This window comes from Homo sapiens, chromosome 10 (assembly GCF_000001405.40).
Source record: "Homo sapiens chromosome 10, GRCh38.p14 Primary Assembly".
NCBI classification, from domain to species: domain Eukaryota; kingdom Metazoa; phylum Chordata; class Mammalia; order Primates; family Hominidae; genus Homo; species Homo sapiens.
Genome location: NC_000010.11, coordinates 70,807,808 through 70,831,635, shown reverse-complemented (window position 1 = coordinate 70,831,635; position 23,828 = coordinate 70,807,808). Strand labels below are relative to the sequence as shown.

General features: G+C 43.4%; 1 protein-coding gene across 8 annotated transcripts in view, besides 3 other annotated features; it reads right to left on the bottom strand.

Moving 5' to 3' along the window:
• SGPL1 (sphingosine-1-phosphate lyase 1) overlaps positions 1-15,688 on the bottom strand; it is a 65,237-nt gene extending 49,549 nt beyond the window's left edge. For 2 of the 8 annotated variants that reach the window (NR_199385.1, NM_003901.4), the window contains exons 1-2: positions 15,510-15,688; positions 14,756-14,825 (exon numbers count right to left, since the gene is read on the bottom strand). Coding sequence is in view for 6 of the 8 variants with exons in the window: in NM_003901.4 (NP_003892.2) it covers positions 14,756-14,782 (27 nt within the window). In the remaining 2 variants the exon portion in view is untranslated. Of the gene's footprint in view, positions 1-14,755; positions 14,826-15,140; positions 15,354-15,450 lie in introns of those variants that run through there. The other 6 variants (NM_001438353.1, NM_001438355.1, NM_001438357.2 and 3 more) reach the window with 5 other exon arrangements.
• Positions 15,273-15,382: a silencer, noted in NCBI's record as "silent region_2453". NCBI's record gives its function as "represses an Ori minimal core promoter by ATAC-STARR-seq in GM12878 lymphoblastoid cells {active_cell/tissue: GM12878}" and the evidence as "EXISTENCE:reporter gene assay evidence [ECO:0000049][PMID:35858748]".
• Positions 15,463-15,552: a silencer, noted in NCBI's record as "silent region_2452". NCBI's record gives its function as "represses an Ori minimal core promoter by ATAC-STARR-seq in GM12878 lymphoblastoid cells {active_cell/tissue: GM12878}" and the evidence as "EXISTENCE:reporter gene assay evidence [ECO:0000049][PMID:35858748]".
• Positions 15,573-15,892: a silencer, noted in NCBI's record as "silent region_2451". NCBI's record gives its function as "represses an Ori minimal core promoter by ATAC-STARR-seq in GM12878 lymphoblastoid cells {active_cell/tissue: GM12878}" and the evidence as "EXISTENCE:reporter gene assay evidence [ECO:0000049][PMID:35858748]".

Genomic DNA, 23,828 nt, shown 5'->3' with positions numbered 1-23,828 from the left:
GGGAGGCATGGAGGCTCCACACCCCTTCCCCTATACCTTGCCCCATGCATCTCTTCATTTGTAACCTTTGCAGTATCCCTTAAAATAAACCTGTAAACCTAAGTAAATGTTTCCCTGAGTTCTGTGAGCTGTTCCAGCAAATTAATCCAATCCAAGAGGAGGTCATGGGAACCTCACCTTGAAGACAGTCAGTCAGACATTTTGAAGGACCAGACTTGTGACAGGTTGGGGTTGGGGGAGACAGGTATGGGTTGGGACTGAGCCCTCAACCCATAGATCTGATGCTATCTCCAGGTAGACAGTGTCAGAATTGAATTAGGCGACACCCAGTGATGTCTGCTTCTTGGAGTGTGGGGAAAAAAATCCCACACGTTTGGTCACGGAAGTCTTCGGTGTTGATTGTTGTGGTGTGAGAGTAGAGGAGAGAGTTTTTCCCTACGGCTTCCAATGAAAAATTATGCATTATCTGGGACGCCCCTCCGGGTTACCAGATTCTGATTATGAGGAGGCTGTTTACGGCTCTGAAAGTTGTAGATAACTGATAGCAGTGCAAAGTAATCTAGATCCCTAAATATGCAAATTCTGCCGTCAGGTGAAGTTTCACCTGACTTTCCTACCCCTATGACAGAGAGTTGTTTTGCCTCCATTTGCACATTCATTTGATATTCCTGATCCATAAATGAGCAGCTTTTTGGACCTCTCCTTTGAACCAGTTATAACATCTGCCTGGTTTCCTCTTTTGGAGTAAAATAAAATCTTCAACATATGTTCATTTTATATCTGTATAAGAGTCAGGATATTACTTTCGAAAATTATCTTTTAACAAAAGCTAGAGATCTTTGCTGTTCCAGACTCCTCCGACGCCCAGAAAATGCTTGTGAACATAAAATCTTATATAATTACAAAGAATTCAGGACATCCTAAAGGCCAGTCATAAAGGTCCATATTCCCCAGTTAATAACTTCTGTTCTACAATAAAGCATAGAAATAGCCTCGATATTACAAAAGGTCCTATATAAGTAAAGTAAGCCCAAGATCCTGTGTCTCCTGTAGGTGAGAACAAGAGACATTGTTAGATATATCCATTACTTAAAATTCTGTAGGAAAAGCCCTGTAACTGCAATAAAAAGGAGTGCAGTTCTGATCCATGCTACAACATGGATGAACCTTGAAACCATTAAACGAATGGTTAATCAGGAAGTCAATCAGGAAAGACCACATATTTACTGTATGATTGTATTTATATGAAGTGTCCTGACTAAGCAAATCTACACAAAGTAGACTGGTAGTTGCTGAGGACCGGTGAGAAGGAAATAAGGAAGTGACTGCTGAGTACTGGGTTTCTTTGGAAAATGTCCTAAAATTGATCGTGGGGATGGCTGCACAACTGTGAATATACAAAACACCAGAGTTGTACACTTAAAAAAGCATCATGACCTAACAGTTCCATTTGTGTTCACCAAATGTCCCTTCAGCTAAGAAACCACCTAAGATTCTTTGGATTCACAGGCTTTCTTTTAATAAAAAAATAAAATTTAAAAGGCCTTCTGAAAAAGTTTTTAAATGGGCCAAGGACAGCAGAAATTGCAACTCCAGAAATAGAGAGTAAAGCTCTGGACTCCAAATGAAAGCAACCATAACTACCTAAGAATAACTTGCCTAAAGGTATATTTTTACGAGTTATAATAATAAATTATTAACGACTAAAATGATGAGATTTTAAAGAATATTTTTTTATCCAGCAATTCCTAAGCACATACTGTAGCAACTACCCAGATATCTGAAAAGGACAGTGACCTTTGAGTATTCCCCTGAACTGACACCTCACCACTACTCTTGCGGACTCTGAGAGTCATGTTAATCTGTTCTACAGAAAGGCAGCTGTGGTGTCCTAGAAAGTCTGGACTGGTAATCAAAACCTTCGGCTCTAATTTTAGCTCTCACTTAGAAGCTGTGTGATGTGTGGCACAACACTAAACCTCTATGCAACTGGACTCTGCTCATCTGCAAAAATAGAAGCCATTGGGATAATTCAACAAAACGTTCAGGAGAAAAAAAAAAGATACCATCGTCCACTCACAGGGTTGTTGTGAATATTAAATGAGATAAGGTAATAAGAAAATGACTGCAGATAATAAACACTCATTAAATATTCAGTGAACCTGAATTATCCAATGATAAACATTTTCCTTTTCTCTTCAATAAGCAACAAGGAAAAGTAACCTTCCCAGTCACAAAGGAGCTGGAAGAGGCTTTAAGTAGTTTGATTCCCATGCCTATGTTGTATTTTCTTACAGACGGTGGTAATAAAACACACCTTAGTAATGAGCTATTTCTCAGTTTTCTAAGAGAGATGTTAAGTCAACTCTTAATCTTCAACAATCTATTAAATCAATCAGAAGGCTGCGAGTGCCCTCTGGCCTACCTATACAACAAGATTAAATCACTTACCTACTATCTTTACAGATCGTAAACCTGTGTGTTTTCAGTCATCCAAACAGACTGTTGACTCTTGTGGTCGTGATTGTTGGGAAAGCATTTGAAAACATTTTCAGAAAGGGCTGGGTAACAGAGTCTTAGGCTTTCTTCCACTCTGGCCCAACACAGCCAGACAGGGAGCAGACTTACCCTGGCATCCTCATATTTGCCCTCCCCAGCGCCCTTCAGGACACTTCTGAAAGGCATCCCCTTTCAGAAGAATGTGAAAACAGAATTTCCAATTTGCCTCAATTGTCTCAAAGACTCGGTGCCATTAAGACTGGAATTCAATACAGAATTGATCTATTCCTTTTTAGACCCATCTGTCAAAACGAATTCAAAAGAATGGAATTAAATGCTTCAGTGAAAGCCTCCAAAAAACATGGTCCCCCAATATTGAGTATAAAGTGTTACTACAATAGCCACTTAGAATCTAAAGCATTCTAGAAGATTATGATTTTAACCTGAGAATTAACTACTACAAATATTTTAAATTCTGCCCTTAACAGGGTCCTTTTCATACTCAAAAAGAACTAAGGTTGCTTTGTTCCCATCAATTGTGTATTAACATTTACAGACTAGATAAACAAGAATGCAGTAGGCTTTACTCTCTGGGGAAATTACAGAAAAGGAAGGGCATTTCACATTTTAGAATTGCTTGTACAGGCTGGGTACAGTGGCTCACACCCATAATCGCAGCACTTTAGGAAGCCGAGGCTTCTCAATGAGGATGGTTAGAGACCCAGAGTTCAAGGCTGCAGGAAGCCATGATCGCACCACCGCACTCCTGCCTGGGCAACAGGGTGAAACCCTGTCTCCGAAAAAAATAAAAATAAAAAATAAAATAAAAGTGCCTATACAACTTCAGGAAAGAGTTCTCAGTGCTCTTCTCCATGTGTGGTATGCAGATGACAGAAATTTAACATTTGCTGCCCAAAGCTAAATCAAGAAGTTATATATTAAAACTCTGGTAGCGTAAATTAGTACAACCACTTTGGAAATCTGTTTGGCAGTACACGTTACCACACAGCAACTCTACATTTTATGTTTACCAAGACATGTTCAAGAAGGCAGCAGTGTCATTCACAATAGCCAAAAAACTAGAAACATAAATGTTCTACAACTACAGAACAAATTAGTTATAATATAGTTATACATTGTAACACTACACAGCAATAAGAAAGAAAAACTAATGCTACCTAAGAACATGACTGAATCTCACAAACACAATGTTGAGCAAAAAGGCCACTCACAAAAGAGAATATACTGTATGTTTCCACTTTATGTAAAGTTCAAAATCAGCAAAACTAAGCAAAACCTTTGGTAGGTATCAACTGGGAGGGACATTAAGAAGCTGGCTGGAGTGCTGGAAATGTTTAATATCTTGATCTGGAAGTATATTCATACATAAATATTTACTGACCTGGATAATTAAGATTTGTGCCCTTTACTGTATGCAAATTGGACCTCAAAAAAAAAGCCCTATGATTTTTTTAAACTCAAAAATGACTCATTCACTTTATGGGATAACAGAACAAATCGCTGATACATAAAGCCTGAATAATGGGCTAGGATTGTTCTGCAGTTTCTGCCTATACTAACAGGCAACTCATTCATTTATCATACATTTGAAGTTTCCTATTTCATGACAAAAAGCTGATGTAGCTATATTATGTCAAAAAGCAAATTATATGAAAAGCTCAACTTACAAGATGTAACAATTTTAAATCTGAATGCACCTAGTAACAAAATCTCAGCAAATATACAGCAAAATCTATTAATAATAGAACTAAAAAGGAGAAATAACTGATAAGGCATATGACTTGAAGAGGCAGCCACAAAACAGAAAATCCAAGTGGTTGGTAAACATTGAAAAGGGTACTTAACCACATCAGTTATCAGGAAATGCATACGGAAATTACAATTACATTTATCTGCTTACCAGATTGTCAAAAAATAAGCTTTATAAATATCAGGTTTGCCAAGTTGGGTGGAAATAACTCTCATATATTGTTGATAGTGGTATAAATTGTATTGGCCTCTTCAGAAAAGTTTAGCAATATCTAGTGAAGTTAGGCATGTATGCCTTTACAATCAGCAATTCCACTCCTAGGCACAAATCCCAGAAAAACTCTTGCACTTGTGATCACTTGTTATATAAGAACGCTCATAACAGCAATGTTTGAAAAAGCCTCAAATTGGAAACAACCCAAATGTGAATTATAAGTCAAATGGATAAATAACTGCAGTTTAGTCACACAATAAAATACTATATATACAGCAATAAAAATGAATGAACTTAAACTACATGCAATAACATGGATCGCATGAATACTGAGCAACACAGGAAAATCACAAAAATAAAAATACATATGCATCCATTTACATCAAGTTTAAAAAAAAACAAACTAAACTTAGGATGCATACACAGGTGGTTAAAACTATTTTTAAAAAGGCAAGGGAATAATTATAAAAGTCAGGATGGGGTTATCCATAGAGGGGAAGAAAGGAAATATTTGTAACAGGGTGAAGCGTAGAGTTAGAGATAAATGGTTTATATCCTAATCTGGTATCGTTGTTTTATTATTGTTCATTAAAATGTAGATATGTGCTTTCTATACTCTTCTGCACGTATAATAAATTCCAAAATAATTTTTAATTAAAATGGAGGGCAAGCCCTTCTTTTTCCGTTTCCTCTTCCTCTTCATGAATGAAACATGAACCTGACAGGTAGAACCCCAGGCAGCTACCCTGGCCCAGGAGGGGATGCACTACTGATAGCGGAATGACAGACAGAAGCAGCCTGGCACCTCAAAGACTCAGGAATGGCCTTATCGGCATGGAATGGAATGGGAATGAATGGAATGGAATGGAATTGTACTGGCATTGCATTGTATTGTATTGTACTGTAGTACTGTATTGTATTGTATTGTTGTGTTGTGTTGTATTGTATTGTACTGTGTTGTAATTTTTTTGAGAGAGTCTCACTCTGTCGTCCAGGCTGGAGTGCGGTAGTGTGACCTTGGCTCACTGCAACCTCCACCTCCCGCGTTCAAGCGATTCTCATGCCTCAGCCTCCTGAGTAGCTGGGATTGATTACAGGCACCCACCACCACACCCGGCTAATTTTTGTATTTTTAGTAAAGACGGGGTTTCACCACATTGCCCAGGCTGATCTTGACTTCTGGCTTCAAGTGATCCGCCCATTTCGGCCTCCCAAAGTGTTGGGATTACAGGCGTGAGCCACCGCGCCAGGCCAGTTTTCTCTTAAAGAAATATATTTATGTCTTTTAAAAAATCTCTATTACTTTAGGTTTTTCTGTTATATACACTCAAACCTAATTCTAGCTGATGCATTCAGTGATCTGGACACATGAAAAATTTTCTAAAAATTAAAGCTGTCCAACAGTGGAAAGAACCCCCTGAGAAAGTATGTAGCACTCACTCCTGACAGGGCATTGTAGAGGGATTCCTAGGCAGCAAGAAAGCTGGACTGCAGTACTTTTAAAGGCCCTCCAGGCAATTAAGATTCTAAGGCTACTACTGGAACAAAGCAGCTTTGGGCTTGCCAAAGCTGTGGCAACTGTGTGCCTCTGAATCTATCCTGTTAAAATCAGTGGGAACATTCCCTTTCTATAATCCATATGCTATCCACCTTCAAGATTCTGTTCAAGAATTATCTCCTCATTTGTGCCTTTTAAGACAAACTAGACCTCTCAACTCCAGCATGCTGGATGTTCTCCCCTCCAGATGATCTCCTCCTCCAGATCCTCCATCCAGCATTTTCCAGCTCGGCTATGTGCCTCCGGATTCCACCCTCTGAATTAAATCAACCAGACTCCTTAACCTCTGGTTTCCAGTTGTATTAGACCAATGGGAGGCTACAGCAGGAGATCAGAGGGTAGCAAAAGAGTTTGAAGTATTTATTCCCCTTGATGCCTTTCCTACTGGGTCACTGGCTGGCATTCCTACAGGTTACCTTCTCCTTCATCTCAACTCTCTCAAAGTTCCAGAAACTACTCCCTTCCTTGCCCTCTCACAGGCTTAAGAGTGTAATCCCAGCTACTTGGGAGGCTGAGGCAGGAGAATCACTTGAACCCAGGAGGCGGAGGTTGCAGTGAGCCGAGATCGAGCCACTGCACTCTAGCCTGGGCGACAGAGCAAGACTTGTCTCAAAAAAAAAAAAAAAGAGAAAAAACAACGTCAGAATAACCAACATGAAAATTTTTTAGGATAACTTGGTGCCTACCTGAAAAATGTATTGTGTTTTAGACTCTTGATTTCAAAAGGTTCCACAGAACTAGTCTGCGCTTACCTTACCCATGTTTATATATAGCTGTCCTACAGGGAGCTTTTATTTAGAAAATGTCTGCATAATGTTAGATTCTTCTCCTGTCTACATTAAGCACTACATAATTGGACTTCATTATGCTTTTGAAATGCTTATCTGCCTGTCACATAAGTTAAACTATTTAATTTGTTTTGAATGTTTTGGATTGCTACATAATACAATATTCTAAATTTAGGCATGAGGGTTTTTTTGTTTTGTTTTTACTTTTTTTTTGTCATCGCACTATGGAACACAAATTAAACTCTCTTAATTTATAAGAAGATAGTTGCAGTTAAATTTTGAAAATGGTTGTAATGAGCCATGAAGTTCAATCTTTGTAATATAGGTATTGCTCTTTCAGACAAATAGTCCATTTTCAATGACTTATTATTTTGTTGAAATTGTGGTCGCTAATCACTTGGTTGCCAAATATTTACTTCAGGAGCAAAGATTTTCAAACAAGCATACATGATGCAAAATACCAATCTGGCTTCTAGTCTCTTTACTGTTTTTGTTTCACTCAGATTAGCTCAGTTTTCTCATCAAAGCAGAATGCTATCTTGTATGTATTTTTTTCATTACAAGACCCATGAGCTGCTTTTATGCTGAAAATGGTCATTTCCCTGTTCACTTACTGACATGTGAAGAAGGGTTTCTTGCTTTCTTAAACATTTCCGTAAGGCAGGCTAGAAATGTAATGCTTCAAATGTTCGATGATTATGGTCTTTTGATAGGAACAGATTCTGCTTGGGATATATATCCAGGCACTCTCTAAGGTCTAGGGTTGATATTAACAAAGGAATGTACTTAGAATAGCAGTACATTTTATGCAAATATGGAAATTATTTTAAGAAACAATGACATATCAAAACTGCTTTTTATTTACATGATTTTGAAATAGACTAGAAAGCTTTCCCTATAGACATATCAATATTCCAATCATAACTTTAATTCAAGAATGCAGTTTTACCAAAAGAAAAATCTGAAAATTTCTATTCAGGCTACTGGAATTGGTTATTAAAAGAAAAAGGAAAAAGAAGAATCTTGCTGCTTTCAGTATTTCCTGATTTTTTTGTAAATATAAAGAGGAACTTCAATTATGAAAAATTTTTAAAAGATATATATATCTATATATCTATATATATGTACTGTTTTGTTTCCTGTCTTGAAGATTTTGAGTTATGGTTATTGGTTTCAGATTGATTAATTCACATATGCTGTGTTTTGAAATGAGATCCCATTAGCTTTTTTTTTTTTTTTTTTTCAATATAAAGTGTTTTCTTTAAAAGTCTGATATTGGTTCGTGGCCTAGTGCCTTGGATTTTACATATTTTTCTTTTTAAATGCAAAACCTTTTCAACAAAATAGTGTTTGTCATCAGGTTGGTACTAAACATTTATAATTACTGTGTAATTATAAACAAAAATACATAAAGCTTTGAATATAATTATGTAGGATAAAAGTTAAGGTTGTTCACTATGATGGCATCTTAGAATTAAACAAAACTTTTACTAGGGCTGAAAAGAGAAGACTGATTTAATGTGGTGTGATTATTCTGAAGATAAATGTCTGGCTACAGGGAATATTTTGTACTAAAAAATGATTACACATATGGCTGTGTGTGTTTGAGTCTGTGTCTGTGAGAGAGCCAGAGAGAGTGAGAGAGATTGACGGAGAAAGGGAGAGACACACACACGCCCCTTGAATTGCTTTAACTCCTAAGTGTTTCAGTCCTCATTCCGGTAAACTCCCCATGCTGATTCTTTGTTTTAAACTGAACCATAGGTACAGTTTCCTTTTTGCCAAATGTCAAAACAGGTACAAATTTTAAAATGTAATGCTTTTTAAATAGAAAAATGTATAAAATTAGAAGTGCCCACATATAAAAAATACTTGAGATGAAGATTATCTTTAGTGAATATCATCTGCATATCTCTGTAAGTTCAATTGTGTTTCTTACAGTCCCTGTCATATTACCAATAGAGGCAATAAAAGCTTCAGTGAAATTGCCATGACAAAAAAAAAAAAAAAAGAGTGATAATGGCTCTCCTATTGCTAGCTAGCCCTTAGATGTTTCACCTAGATGTTTTCCTTAAACCTGCTCAGCCTTGAAAATAGTCCCTTGATCCCTTAGTACGCTGTTGGATTATGCCAAGATATGACTGATATATCCACAAACTACTCGCAGCCTTCACCATTCCATCTTCTCAGAGGGCCCCTATCTCCCCTTCCCCCACAGCATGGTTTTTATCTCAGTAATTGGGTTCTGTACATTTACACATACAGACTGATTCACATCAATTCCCTATGGAAATTCTTAAACCCAGGCTGATTCTCAATTCTGCCACCAATGTGCACAAACTGTATATAATATTAGATTGGGTAAAACCTAATTAAGAAGGTAAATATTACTAAAAATTCCTGACACATAGACTGAAAAGCTAAGTCAAATACTGGGATTTGGATTCTATCTGTTTATAACCCTCTTTTCCTTTAAACCAAAGGCTGTGGAAATTATTACAGCTCTGTTTCATCTATAACACTGGGAGATTGCCAAATACAGTGTTCATCCTGCAATGGCCACTCAAATGTCAACAAATTTTTTAATGTCCTATCAACAATCCCAATGAATTTTCCCTTTCTTCTAGCAAATCCTACAAACAAGACACAAGGCTCAAATAATAGAACAGAGCTCCTAAGGTCAATCTTTCAGTTTATTGCTTAAATCCCACTTGAGATTCAGAAAGAAAGCATCCCTGAAAAAGAGTCAAGGGTCACAGATAAAGACGCTCAAGGACCTGGAAAGATTCAATTTTTGAACCCAAAAAACAAAACTGAGGGAAGCTTGCTGTTTGCAAATCAAGAAAAGAGTGGTGCAGAAATGTTGCAAAGGACAGCATTTCTTAAGAATTCTGCATTGCTATAAAAGATCAGCTGCACCATCTCCAATATATATTCCTGAGCAGCAAGGCTTGACCCATGGGCAAAATAACCCCAAGTGAGACAATAACAGACACGTTAACCTCCAAGAAGGGAATCACTCCCCCACCCATATGAAAGCATAGACTACACAGATATCCAGGTATCTATGGTAAGAAACTTCATACCAGTTTCTCAACCTCACCACTATTGACATTCTAGGCCAGATAATTCTTGTTTGCAGGAAACTGTGCGTTGTAAGGTGTTTGGTTGCATCCCTAGCCTCTACCCACTAGATGCCAGCAGAACCCTTCAGGTGTAACAACCCAAAATGTCTCTAGGCATTGTCAAATGTCACCCAGAGGGCAAAATTGCCCCTGGTCAAGAACCACTGCCCTAGATAAGCAATTATCACTCAAACCCCACCTAGCACTACCAGGGTGCACACGCTAACCTTGATTCATCTATGAATATCAGCTAATTTAGTCATCATTTTCTGATGAGAAAAGAAAAAAGCCACCTAAGGGGTAGACTGGCTTTATAAAATACCTTTTTCTTAAAAACTACAAATATTTGGCAACTTGCAAAGTGATACCACCCTCTAGCACCAAGGAGGAGAGTATGAATAAAAAGAATGGTTGCCAAGGGGGAGAAAGGCTGCTACAAAGCTGTCTGACTTGAATTCCCTCTGACATCATCACAACTCTCAGCAGATGAACATACTCATTTTATTCTCTATGAGACACAGGTGGAAAGTACTGCAGTCTATGACACATCACATACGAGCAAATGGAAAAAGGCAAGCAAACTATCCTAATCAAATGATAACAAAATTGAGGGCAGGAACACACTGAGGGCTGATAGCCCGAGCCTGTCAGTCTGGATTCAAGGCTTGTTATATGTGGACTCCAGGTCATCTCCAGGTTTTCTCTCACAGCATACTGTCCACACAAGTAGTCTTCAACTCTATGACCCAATGCCCTCTTTTTATAACAAATATTCTGTAATCCCTTTTGCTACTCTGACATGGCATTTAAAGATTATAACACTATGCCTGCAGATACAAGTTTTAAAATTTCAATATAATTCATTAAATGCGACGTAAAAGAAAATAAAACACAAATTTTTTTTTTTTTGAGACAGTCTCGCTCTGTCGCCCAGGCTGGAGTGTAATGGTGCAGCTTCAGCTCACTGCAACCTCCACCTCCCGGGTTCAAGCAACTCTCTTGCCTCAGCCTCCTAAATAGCCGGGAATACAAGTGTACGCCACCATGCCCAGCTAATTTTTGTATTTTTAGTAGAGACAGAGTTTCGCCATGTTGACCAGGCTGGTCTAGAACACCTGGCCTCAAGTACTCTGCCCGCCTGAGCCTCCCAAAGTGCTGGAATTACAGGCATGAGCCACCACGCCTGACCCAATAAACAAGATTTAATAATAATTTAATAATAAAACATGTATTTTCAGACTACACTAGAAGAAAAAAGACTCCCTCCTCCCCCAGTCCCCCATTGCCAAAGTGCCCCCTAGAGGGTGGAGCTATCCTATCCCATCTGCTCCACACAGACCCTCTCCCATCAGTCACAATGGTCAGCAACCTCTACCCTTACCAGGGGTAAGGACACAAAGTAGGCAAGAGGGAGGGATCTGAAGTCAGACCAACTGAGGTCAAACTTGGCTCCACCACTCAACTGCTGTAGTTACTCTCTATAAGCCTCGTTTTTCATCTGTAAAAGAAGGATACCAAAAGGTTTTTGTGAAAATTAAATAAGTACAGTATTCCTACACTTAACATGTAATACATGCTCAATAAATGTTAGCTATCAGAGTTAACATTACTATTCCTGAATCCACCTTGTATTGTTTCCTAGCTTTTGCTCACTTATTCCATTAGCAGAAAAGACGGGAGACTGGATATCCATTTACCAGAGATACTCTTCAACAGATTCATGTATAATATAAGCTGCATCACAGGCCAGGTACAGTGGCTCATGCCTGTAATCCAGCACTTTGGGAGGCCAAGGCAGGCGGTTGGATCCCTTGAGCCCAGGAGTTAGATACCAGCCTGGGTAACATGGCAAACTACCATCTCTACAAAAAATAAATACAAAAATCAGCCGGGCATGGTGGCATGTGCCTGTCGTCCCAGCTACTCAGGAGGCTGAGGTGGAAGGATCATCTGAGCCTCAGAGATTGAGGATGCAGTAAGCTGAGATCATGCCACTGCACTCCAGCCTGGGCATCAGAGTGAGACCTTGTCTCAAAAAAAAAAAAAAAAAAAAAGCTGCATCCCATGACTTCTAAGACTATTTCTAATTCTGAGATGCTGCACTGCACTGAGGTTATTTTTTTATTCACTTAGGTCCTTTCTTCCCAGGTGGAGGGCCAAGAACATGTTTTACATATCATATAAAGTAGCTTGAGAAACACCTCATAGAATGATGGGTTAGTGTGCCACTGAAAACCCAGCCATGGTTATTGGTTCTTTACCAGTTAGTTCCAAATAGCATTATACATTACAGTCAAGGAATGAATGACAACTTTTCCAGTGAAAGCACTTCATGCAACATGTATGTTGTCTTCAGAAAGTGATGACTGCCTAGGGCCACTCGCATCTATGTGGATTAATTCCTTACAGCAACAAGCAAAGCAACACTCCTAAACATTCTAAATTAACAGGTGAGGAGGTGAAAGGTGGTGGCAACAGCTAGAGAAATACCTCAAAAGAAAACTGATTCCAAAGTTAATATTCCGAGTAAAAGCAGTCATTGTTCTGTTAAAGTAAATGCATAGGCCCTATAAGTAATAACCATATCTCTGTGCATGGGGAAATATCTTACATATAAGAACCTATAATTTACATAAACATATCCTTCTGTAAGAGGATAAACAGAAACTGTCAATTGCTACAAGTCACTCTGCATTAACCATCCAAGATGCTCACAGCGGTTATTTCTGGGTGATAAATTACTGCACGGGGTAGAGGCGAATGAAGGGGATGTAGGAGATAGGGGAGATTAACAAATCCCCTTTCCTTTTGCTTACTTATAGTTTCCAGTATTTCTAACATAATGGTCTTTGAATAAGAATTTTAAGTTATATAAGGGTATTAATTAAAACTGAAAAATCCATGAAATTTGGGGCAAGATACTATTTTAGATGAACTTTTCATTGGGATCTGCGGATAACCTAAGTATTCATCTATGTCTCTCACATACAACCTAAAATTATCCTAGATCCCTGCCTCAAATCACAATGGATCAAAACTTAGTTTCTCTCTTCTTTAGCCCCCCTGCAGACCTTACAGGTTATGCCACTACGATGTCAGCACCCAGTATAAGGAAATCTCACTACCAGTTTTTGCCAGTTTCCCAGTGACGCCAACCCACCCTCTGGGATAGTGAGATAAAGAGAGAGAAATGAATTGTTTTTAAAGCACTGATTTTGCACTCAGAGAAGTGACAAAAACAAACAAACAAACAAACTTGGCTGGACACGGCGGCTCACGCCTGTAAGTAATCCCAGCACTTTGGGAGACCAAGGCAGGTGGATCACCTGAGGTTAGGAGTTTGAGACCAGCCTGGCTAACACGGCGAAACCCCATCTCTATTAAAAAACAAAAATTACCCAGGCATGGTGGTGTGCACCTATAATCCCAGCTACCCGGGAGGCTGAGGCAGGAGAATCGCTTGAACCCGGGAGGCAAAGGTTGCAATGAGCTGAGATTGTGCCATTGCACTCCAGCCTGGGAGACAAGAGCTAAACTCCATCTCAAAAACAAACAAACAAAACAAAACAAAACGAAACAAAAAAAACTAAACCCGGACACTTTTTCTATACCACCATTTCAAAGCTATAAACTCTCCATAATTCTCACACTAAGAAGTCCATAAGGAATCATAAAAGTCCCAAAAATAAAATGTCATTTTGGTAAACATGCATTTAGCAACGCTATTCTTCCCTGCTCAGTAAAACAGCACAGAAAGATCTCAGGAGGAGAGGAAACAGCTCTAAAGCAGGCATACCTCTCTGTCCAACAAAAGAACTTAAATTCATACTGGTTCAATCCAACAAGCATTTGTTAAGCACATACTATATTCAGAGCACCATGCTAGGTGTTTATTCATCTCTAAACAAAGAAGACATGATTATCTGCCTGTCGAGGAACCATAACTCTAATCTGGAAGACAAACACTCAGATAAACTAGTATATGGCAGACCCTGATAAAACGTAATAATAGAGGTTTCAAAACTGCTCTGGTAGTACGGGAAGGGAGGGATTAAAACTGCAAGAATTATGAAAAAGAAAGCCAGGAGAGGTGACCTGTGCTCCTAGTCCTAGCTACTCCAGAGGCTGAAGCAAGAGGATCACTTGAAGTGGGAGTTCCAGGCTACAGTGAGCTATGATTATGCCTGTAAATAGCCACTGCACTCCGGTCTGAGGAACATAGCAAGACCTTGTCTCATTTAAAAAAAATAATAATAATTTTGAAAAAGATTCTTCAATAATTTAAGTTCTACATATACTGTATTGATGTATTTAATTCAGCTATTTATTCATCCTGATCATTCATCCAAAATAAAAGGTGGTTGGCCAGGCGCGGTGGCTCACGCCTGGAATCCCAGCACTTCGGGAGGCCAAGGCGGGTGGATCACCACAGGTCAGGAGTTCAAGGCCAGCCTGGCCAACATGGAGAACCCCGTCTCTACTAAAAATACAAAAATTAGCCGGGCGTGGTGGCGTGCGCCTGTAATCCCAGCTACTCAGGAGGCTGAGGCAGGAGAATCGCTTGAACCCAGGAGGCAGAGGTGGCGGTGAGCCGAGATCATGCCACTGCACCCCAGTCTGGGCAACAGAGTGAGACTCCGTCTCCAAAAAAACAAAACAAAACAAAACAAAATAAAAGGTGGCAAAACGCTCAGCTACCAAAAGCAAGCATCAGAGGTGAAATCTACACACTGGGATCCTTTGGACTAAAAAAACGGAGACAAATGCCTTGGAACCAGGAGGATGTCTGCAAAAGGCTCACCAACATCAGAAGGTCTGTGCTAGGCATCTTCCTCTTCCAGCCTCCTCTCCGCGCTCCCCTTTTTCAGACTCTGTAAAAGGGAACCAGGTTTGTTTACTTCTAGAGCTTTAAACTGTCTCGCCAGCCCGCCTAGATTCGCCAGAGCAGCCAAGTTATGGTTCTCTCCCTCCTTTGAAGGCTCAGATTTCATTCCCAGATATCACAGTCCACCCCTAGCACCCCAGACCAGCGAATCAAAATCCTGCTGCAACTAGGTTTCCCTCCCACAGCTGATGAAACTAATCCAGACCCAGACTCCCACAAAGCATTCCACCCAGGTGGAAACTAGGGGAAACGCCCCGTCTGCGCGCGATCGGGGTGGGGAGCCCAGCCCAGGCCACCTAACCCGGGCTGAAGGTGCCGAGGCTACCAGGGTCCTGCCTCCTCCGCACTCCCTTCAGAATCAGCACGGCCTCGCTCTCGTTGTCACCCCTCCCGTCGGAGGACCAGCAAATCCTGGCCGCCCATGCCTACCCCGCGGCAGGCGTGGGCTCCAGACCCGCCCCACCGCGGCCCCGCGCCCGCCCGCCGTCCACTTGCTTGGACCTCAGCGGCTGGTGCCCACGCCTTCAGCCCGCCCCCGCCCCCGCCCCGGCCGCAGCCGCCCCGCCGCCTCTGCCCGCCCTCGGCCCACCCGGCCCCTGTCCTCTCCTCACCCCGCGGCGCCTCCGTCCCGACCCTCACCGCCCCCCGGAGCCCGCGGCGGCCCCTCCACCTCCTCACGCCGGAACCAGCTTCCAGTCTCCTTCCCTCGAGCACCCGGCCGGCTCCACCTCCTGCGTCTCCCTCAGCACGCGACGGACTCGCAGGCCGCGAGACCCAGGCTCCCCTGTTGCCGCCGCCGCCGCCGAGATTGGAGGCCCGGCAGCCGCCGGCCTCGCCCCTCCCGGAAATGGCTCCGGGGGCACCGGCCCGGCTCCCGGACCCTGGCGTGCGCGGCCCCGCTGCTACCAGCCGCGCGCACGCCCAGACCCGGGCCCCACGGCCTGTGCGCGCCGCCTACCGGCCAGGCAGCGGGCTGCACCCAGACCCTCCAGTGAATGTCTCAACCAGGCCGTCCTGGGGCGGCTGTGGTATCCCGACGGTCACCAACTTCTCTTCCAAACTGCCTTGGACAAAAAACTTTCTTGTCACATTTGGTCACTTGGAGCCTCCTGAGAGAGTAGGTCTGCAGGGCATTGTACAAACTAATCCAAAACAGCCACAGAGTTGGGTCTCTTTCCTGGGCCAGGGACTTCATTTTTCCATCGAGGTCAGTGGTGCCTGAAGAAAAGCAACAAGGAAACTTATTTAATGGAAATATCATCCTCATCCTCCCCTCCACCACTGCCCCCCCCCACCCCAAAAATAAAATGGAGAGCAGAGGCTACTCTGCCATCACTACTTTCATGAGCAGTGCTGGGAATCACCTTATACACAAGTGCAAGGGCCCACTGGGATCACAAAGGTCGCCTTCATTTCCAGATGAAAAAACTAAGTCTCAGCTGGGTGTAGTGGCTTACATCGGTAATCCCGGCACTTGGGGATGCTGAGGCGGGAGGGTTGTCTGAGCCCAGGAGCTCTAGATCAGCCTGAGCAACATAGTGAGACCCCCAACTCCAAAAAGAAAAAGAAAAAACTAAGTCTCACATAGGTTTCCCATGACTTGTCCAGGTTGTCATAACATTGCTTTAGTGGTAGCAGAAGGCAGTGCAGTTACATGGAACCAACTGGTCAGTGACCTGCATTCAAGATTTTTTTTCAATAGATTTTAAAATGACACCTAGATAGACTCTTGAAATCTCTCAAACAAAAATGACACTAATGAGGGTACCCAATTCCATCCCCTTGGAAAATGTTGCCATGACACTAAAATTAGGGCATCATCACTACCGTCATTATCCACATGTAGTGCTTTCAGGATGAAATGTACTATCACAGCTGCCCTCCTCTGCATACCCCATCGGCACTTCCCACTTCCCCAGCCATAATGGTTAAGGCCCTGAAAGACTATGAACAGGTTATCTTTAGGCCTCCTCACCCCCATTCCGTCAGAACTCCCAGACATTTCTACCATCCAGAGCCCCTGACTCAGGCATGAACACCCCCATACCCTTAGCCCCCTCACTACTATTCCCCAGCAGACATGCATTCTCAGTGTTTGAGGGTCAGAAAATGTTCTGGGGCCTCCTGCCAATGCCTACTCATCAAGAGTTGCTTTAGGGTTTCAGGTATGCCTTCCCATTCTCCATCTCCTACCCTTCTGCTTTAATTCTTCATCAGATCCCCCAGGAACTGCACACCTCCTCTCCATCTCCTTGTTAGTTACCACCCCCACATCCTTTAATCTAGAATCTGTGCACCCAGATGACTAGAGGGCAGGGTCACGTCTGATTCCTCCCTACACCCTAACACACAGTATGCAGTCTGCTCATTCTTCCCAGATGCTCAAACCAATGCAATCATATCGACTGATCCTTGCTTTGCCAAGAACTATGCTAGGCACCTTTACATACAAGCCTTATTTATGGCCTGACTTGCCCAGATCAGGTGACTCTTATCATCCCTCAACCTGTAAACAAGGACACCAAGACCAAAGAAGGAAATGATCCTCCCAAAGACACACAGGCAGGATGGGGTGGAGTTTGTGTGGGAGTTTGGAGGGGAAGCCAAGGGTTCAGAATTTGTAGCGGGGACCTCGAATATCCTTTTTGGTTAATTAGAATCAAAAAATGGTAGGGCTAGAGGGGTCTCCAGCTATTCGCCAGCTCCACCCCAGAGAATACACAAATACACGTGAAGAAACTGAGGTCCAGAGAGAGATGCGACTCCTAGCAGTTCCTGGCAGAGCCCAGCCTAGAACATGGGTCTGGGTTTGCAACTCTCTGAGCCGATGAAGCCCTGTGTGTGTGTGTGTGTGTGTGTGTGTGTGTGTGTGTGTGTGTGTGAGAGAGAGAGAGAGAGAGAAAGAGAGAGAGAAAGACTTCAGACCACCCTGCTCTCCTACCCCACACTCCCTCTGACAGCAGAATGACGTTAGCAGGCACATAGCTGGCTGGTCAGAGGCAGAGGAGGGCTATCTGGAACTTCCATTCTGAAAGTGTGGTTTCCCTGAGAGCAGCATTGGCTTTACCTGAGAGCTTGTTATAAATACAGGTTCTTGGGGCCCCACTCCAGACCTCCTGAATCAGAATCTACAGCTTAACAAGGTCCCCAGATGATCTTAATGCACAAGAAAGTAAAAAGCACTTCCCTAGACACTCTGTTTGCAGAGAAAGCACAATTTTTGTTTGCTTATTTAGAAACATGGTCTCAATAATGTTGCCCAGGCTGGAGTGTAGTGGCTATTTACAGCCATTATCATAGCTCACTACAGCCTCAAACTCCTGGGCTCGAGCGATCCTCCTGTCTCAGCCTCCTGAGTAGCTGTGTCTACAGACACATGGCACTTTGCCCGGATAGAAGGCACGATAGTTGTATTAAGCGTGTGGGTTGTTTGGGATGGCTTAAGGAGGCTGATGAAGAACGTGTTTGTTTGGGGCTGGGGAGGGAACCAATGCTCCCCAGTTGTCCTTTGGTACCATCATGGTGCCTTCCAGGATGACAAAAGATTGTCATTCAGGTGTCAGTGAGGCACTGAAATTCCCGCAGATGACGGAAGGCTTGGGACGGGGGAGGGAGGTGTGGAGCAAGATGGTCTGGGATTTTTTCCCTCTGTGGCTTCTTTAATTTAGGCTAGGAGGATCTCCCTGCAGTGCTTGTGCCTGCCATCATTTAAACAATTCATGCCAGCAAATCTGGTTCTGCTTAAAATGGCAGCCATCCATGGCCAAGTTAATGACAGCCTCCCACTCATGCATGAGTGCACACTCCCACTCTAAAAAGCAGGCGCACACACTCTCCTGCCTCCATTCTTGCTCCTGACACCCCTTGCTCAGCCGGGGACCTTCTTGAGAAGCTCACCTCAGGACAGGGGTGTGGGCAGATCTTAGGAGGGTTGCAGCCTCTAGGCCCATCCTGGAAAGGAATGGCCCACAGGAAACCAACAAACAGTTCCTAGAGCCCAGAATGCCCAAGAAGAGGCAGGAAACCAGCACATAGCTCCAGCAGCAGGCTCAGCTGATCACAGCAGAGCTGGCCACCAGGGGAGGAGAGGCCAAGGGCCAGACAGACATGGGAGCCCCCACAGCAGGGACCAAATGCCCCGACATTGCCAACTGGAGTGAGCAAGGGGCAGCAAGTCACCGAGTTATCATGGGCCCCCTGACCTCACTCAGGTACATACCCCAGTTGCCAGTTTGATCAAAGTCAGAGTGGCCAAGCCCTCAGAGAGCCAAGAGTTATTTCCCAAGGAAACCTCATCTTTCGTAAAGAAGCCCACTGATAGGGTTTGACTCTGTGTCCCCACCCAAATCTCATCTCAAATCATAATTCCCATGTGTCGAGGGAGGGAGGGTGATTGGATCATGGGGGTGGTTTCCCCCATGCTGTTCTCATGGCACTGAGTGATTCTCATGAGATTTGATGGTTTTATGAGTGTCTGGAAGTTCTTCCTTCGTTCTTCTCTCTGCTGCTGCCTTGTGAAGAAGGGGCTTACTTCCCCTTCACCATCCGCCATGATTGTAAGTCTTCTGAGCCCTCCCCAAGCCGTGTGGAACTGTGAGTCAGTTAAACCTCTTTCCTTTATAAATGCCCCAGTCTCAGGGAAGTTCTTAATAGCAGTGTGAAACGGACTAATACACCCACCATTGTTGCTATCCAGGCTGCACAGTCACTCCTAGCAAAACATTAAAAACTGAGAGCAGCTGTTTCTCAAACACTGAATAAATATAAACTTCCTTTGACAAAATAGCTTTGAAGGCAGGGAGACAGGTCTCTACCCAGGAATCATTGTGTGGCCTCAAAATAGCTTTGAAGGCAGGGAGACAGCTTTCTACCCAGGAATCATTGTGTGGCCTCCAGCAAGTTGTTGTAACTGTCCAAGCCTGGGCTTCCTCCTTTGTAAAGCAAGAATTAACAACTACCCTAAGACTGCTGTGGCAATTGTAAGAGATGTATGTGTGTGCCCATCACATATGAGGCCTGATCCACCATAAGCACTCAATAATTATTACTATTATTATTATTATTAATTTATAAAGACAATGCCTCACTATGTTGCCTAGGCTGCTCCTGGGCTCCAGTGATTCTCCCACCTTAGCCTCCCAAAGTGCTGGGATTACAGGTGTGAGCCACCGCGCCCGGCCAAGAATTATTGGTCTAACACCCTCCGCATACATCCAGGGTGTACTCAAATAAGATTCCAATCTGAGCCGTGTGATTGACTAAGCCCAGCCTAGCCCTCTCACATTGTTGCTGGAAGCTGGTTTCGATCCCCATCAGGACCTGATCCTAACAAGTTGATTAGTCCTTCCAACGTGCCCCTTGCCCTCTCTAGGGCATGCTAGACCTTTGCAAGGCTTGTCTGAGAGCTACAGATCTACTGTTTTCCTGCAGGTTTTATTGCTTGTAGATCAGTAAGTCCTAAACCAACCAGATCCAACACCCCTGTTTATAACAAATATTGTTTTGTAACTCTCTTTTACTATCTTGAAATCAATATAGCACTATAATTTTAAAAGGGAATGTCACGATAAAATCATACATGAAGTTGGCAGAGGCATGGACTTACAATGGATATGTTTGCATTACAGGAAGGCAATATTTAATTGAATAGTGCTGTCACTGCTTTCTTTATATTTGACATTTTGACATAAGGACTAAATTAGGCTATTCATAGAATTAGATACAATCATCATGGATAGGAAAGCTGCAGATGCAGACCAGTATAGAGGTAGTGTCTTAGTGACTCAATTACTATGTGAGCAGCATTGCCATGGATGATGTGATTTTACAAAACTGTGGCTTAAGGTCGATAACGTTTCAGACAAAATGCAGGACAATTTACACACAGCTCTCAACATGGTAGTTGTACTCCAGGTAGGTTGTGCAATAAAATCATGTGTTCTTTTTTGTTGTTGTTGTTGTTGTTGTTTGAGACAGAGTCTCACTCTGTCGCCCAGGCTGGAGTGCAGTGGCACAATCTCGGCTCACTGCAACCTCTGTCTCCCCGGTTCAAGCGATTCTCTTGCCCCAGTCCCCCGAGTAGCTGGGATTACAGGCGCCTGCCACCACACCAGGCTAATTTTTGTATTTTTAGTAGAGACAAGGTTTCACCATGTTGGCCAGGCTGGTCTCGAACTCCTGACCTTAGGTGATCCACCCGCTTCAGGATTACAGACATGAGCCACTGCACCAGGGTGTTTTTTTTTTTTTAAACGTACATGTAAAGTGAAGTTGATTATGGCTCATGTGCCTATGAACTAGCTTTTCACCTCTATGAATATTCTGACAGTACATTCAAAAGATGTACAGGACTCAGGACAATTCTTCAATGTGATGGGATGCATCCCTCACTAAGAACAAAGAGGGACCTGCCTGTTGCCCCTGCCTGCAGCACCTGGGGGAGAGAGAAAAGTCATCATGGGCCTTATTTCTGCCCCAGGGACTGCAGTATTCCCCTCACTGAATGCCAGAAGCACCAGCCTCATCATTATGACAACCAAAAGTTTTTTTTTTTTTAATTTCCAGGGTGCTCCCTAGGGAGCCCAGCTGCCCCAGTGAGAGCTTCTCTTGTGGACTGATGACAGGGATACACTCCAGCACAAGCAGCATTTTAATATCTACAGCTGAGGATTTGTCAAGCTAGAAGGGACTTAAACATCATCCAGGTGCCCATCTAGCATGGATAGTCAGCATCTCCAAGGAGCCTTTCAAAATCCACATGTCAGGGCCCTCCTGCAGATGGAAGGAATGAGGTGTGAGGCCCAGTCATCTGTATTTTGTACATTCCCGGATAAGAGCTGCAACATTCTAACCATTCTCATCTCTTTCTAAGTCTTGGTCTTGCAGCTAATGGGGGCAGAACCTAGAATTCCTGACATTCCAGCCCCAGAAGCCCAGACCCAGAAAACACAGTGAAGCTTGTGGGTTCTTGTGGGGCTGTTGGGACGCTGTGCTGTGGGGCTTTGGATGCACCATTGACTCTCTCTGGGCTTCAATTTCCTCATCTCAAAATTGGGTAGAGAGGGGAAGCTGTTCCACACCTCTGTCAGTCTAGAGTTCTCTTTGGCCCACTGGGGTTCCCCTTCCCAGAATCTTCTGTTTGGTAACTCCATCTGTCTGTCTCCAGGTGCCCAGGAAGGGCCCTCTGTCTTGTGGTTACTTGGTCAGGGAGTGTTTGTCCTGGCCCTGCTGTGAAGGATGAACATGTTGCCAGAGGGCCAGGCCCTCTCCTGAGTGTTGACACAGATAGGACATGATGAAGAGGCCCAGCCTTATATAAGTCGTGGGTAGACAGAGGACCAGTGGGGTAATTTCAGCCCTTGGCCCAGGGTTGCTCCTTGCCTGGCACTGTAGAACTGGTTTCCAGGGTTGACTCAGAGGGGCTGGGCACCACCTGTATCCTCAGCTCAGAGGTCAGGGTAGCCGGGGGCGGGGGGGGGGCACCCTAATTCACAAGGGATGAAGAGCTTTTTATGTCTGAAAACTGAATGAAAGGAATTTCCTCTAGTCAGTGACTAAGGACAGAATATTCTCTGTGCTTGGGGGAGTGACCTAGGCAGAGGGATCAAGGACAGCTTGAGCTGAGAACACAGCAGGAGCAGGAGCTAGCCAGGCAGAGAGGGGCAGGAAGAGCGTTCTGGCTGAGCAAGTGCGGAGGGCCAGTGTTGGGGCAGGAGAGGCCAGGCCAGTGTGGCCAGAGAAACAAGCCTGAGGGGGACGGAAGGCAGAAGCTGGCATGCAGGTCAGTAGGGGCAGGCATGGCAAATACACATGCCTTCAGGGGCCCAGGCAGGCAATGTGACTGCTACAAATTGGGAATGTAGGCTTCAGGCTACATTCATTCAACATGCATACAACTATTCAATGCCAGGTTGCAATATTCAGGACCTGGGATGGATCATTGAGCAAAACAAAGGGCCCTGCCCTCATGCAACTTACATTCCAGCAGAAGGAGACAGACTAATAAACAGAATAAATAAGTAAACTATATGGTAAGTTAGGAGATGCTTGGGGCTATGGAAAGAGAGGAAGCAAAGCAATGTAAGGGAAGCACAAAGTATGGGGTTTAGGACAAGATGTCATGGATACTGCAATTTTATTTATTTATTTATTTATTTATTTTTTGAGATGGAGTCTCGCTCTGTCATCCAGTCTAAAGTGCAGTGGCGCCATCTTGGCTCATGCAACTTCCACCTCCCAGATTCAAGCAATTCTCCTGCCCTAATCCCAAGTAACTGGGATTAGAGATGCACATCACCACACCTGGCTATTTTTGTATTTTTAATAGAGACGGGGTTTTACCACATTGGCCAGGCTGGTCTTGAATTCCTGACCTTGGGTGATCCACCCGCCTCAGCCTCCCAGTCATGAGCCACCATACCTGGCAATTTTAATAGCATAGTAGGGTAGTTCAACATCTCAATTTTCCAAGGAAAGACAGAAATCTAGATTTTTAAAAATTCTCTCAATTTTAAAATTATGATGTCCTAAGAGCCTGCCAGAGTCAGAGATTATTCTCACTCTCTTTGCAAGGGCTACTTTGGTTCTTTATGTTAAACAGTGGGAACAGTTCAGCACTCCAAGAAACAGAGCCCACTTAAAGGGCTTGTCATTTACCCCTAGACTCAAGCTTCATATGTTACCAACAATGCTTTTCAGCCATCTGTGGAGAGTGCTTCCTTTTTCCATACACCCAAGTTGCTCAGAACTCCCATTTTCTTGGGGCAGACACAGGGGTTGCCTGCAGCCCCTCTCCTTGACCAAGCTCTAGGGGAAGCACTGTTGCTTCAAAGGGGAATAATGCAGTCCCTGGGGCAGAAATGAGGCTGATCATGACTTCTCTCTCTCCTCTAGGCGCTGCAGGCAGGGGCAACAGGCAGGTCCCTCTTTATTCTTAATCAACAACAGGAAATAGAAAGCCAGCATAATTCTGGATAAAAACAGCCCATAA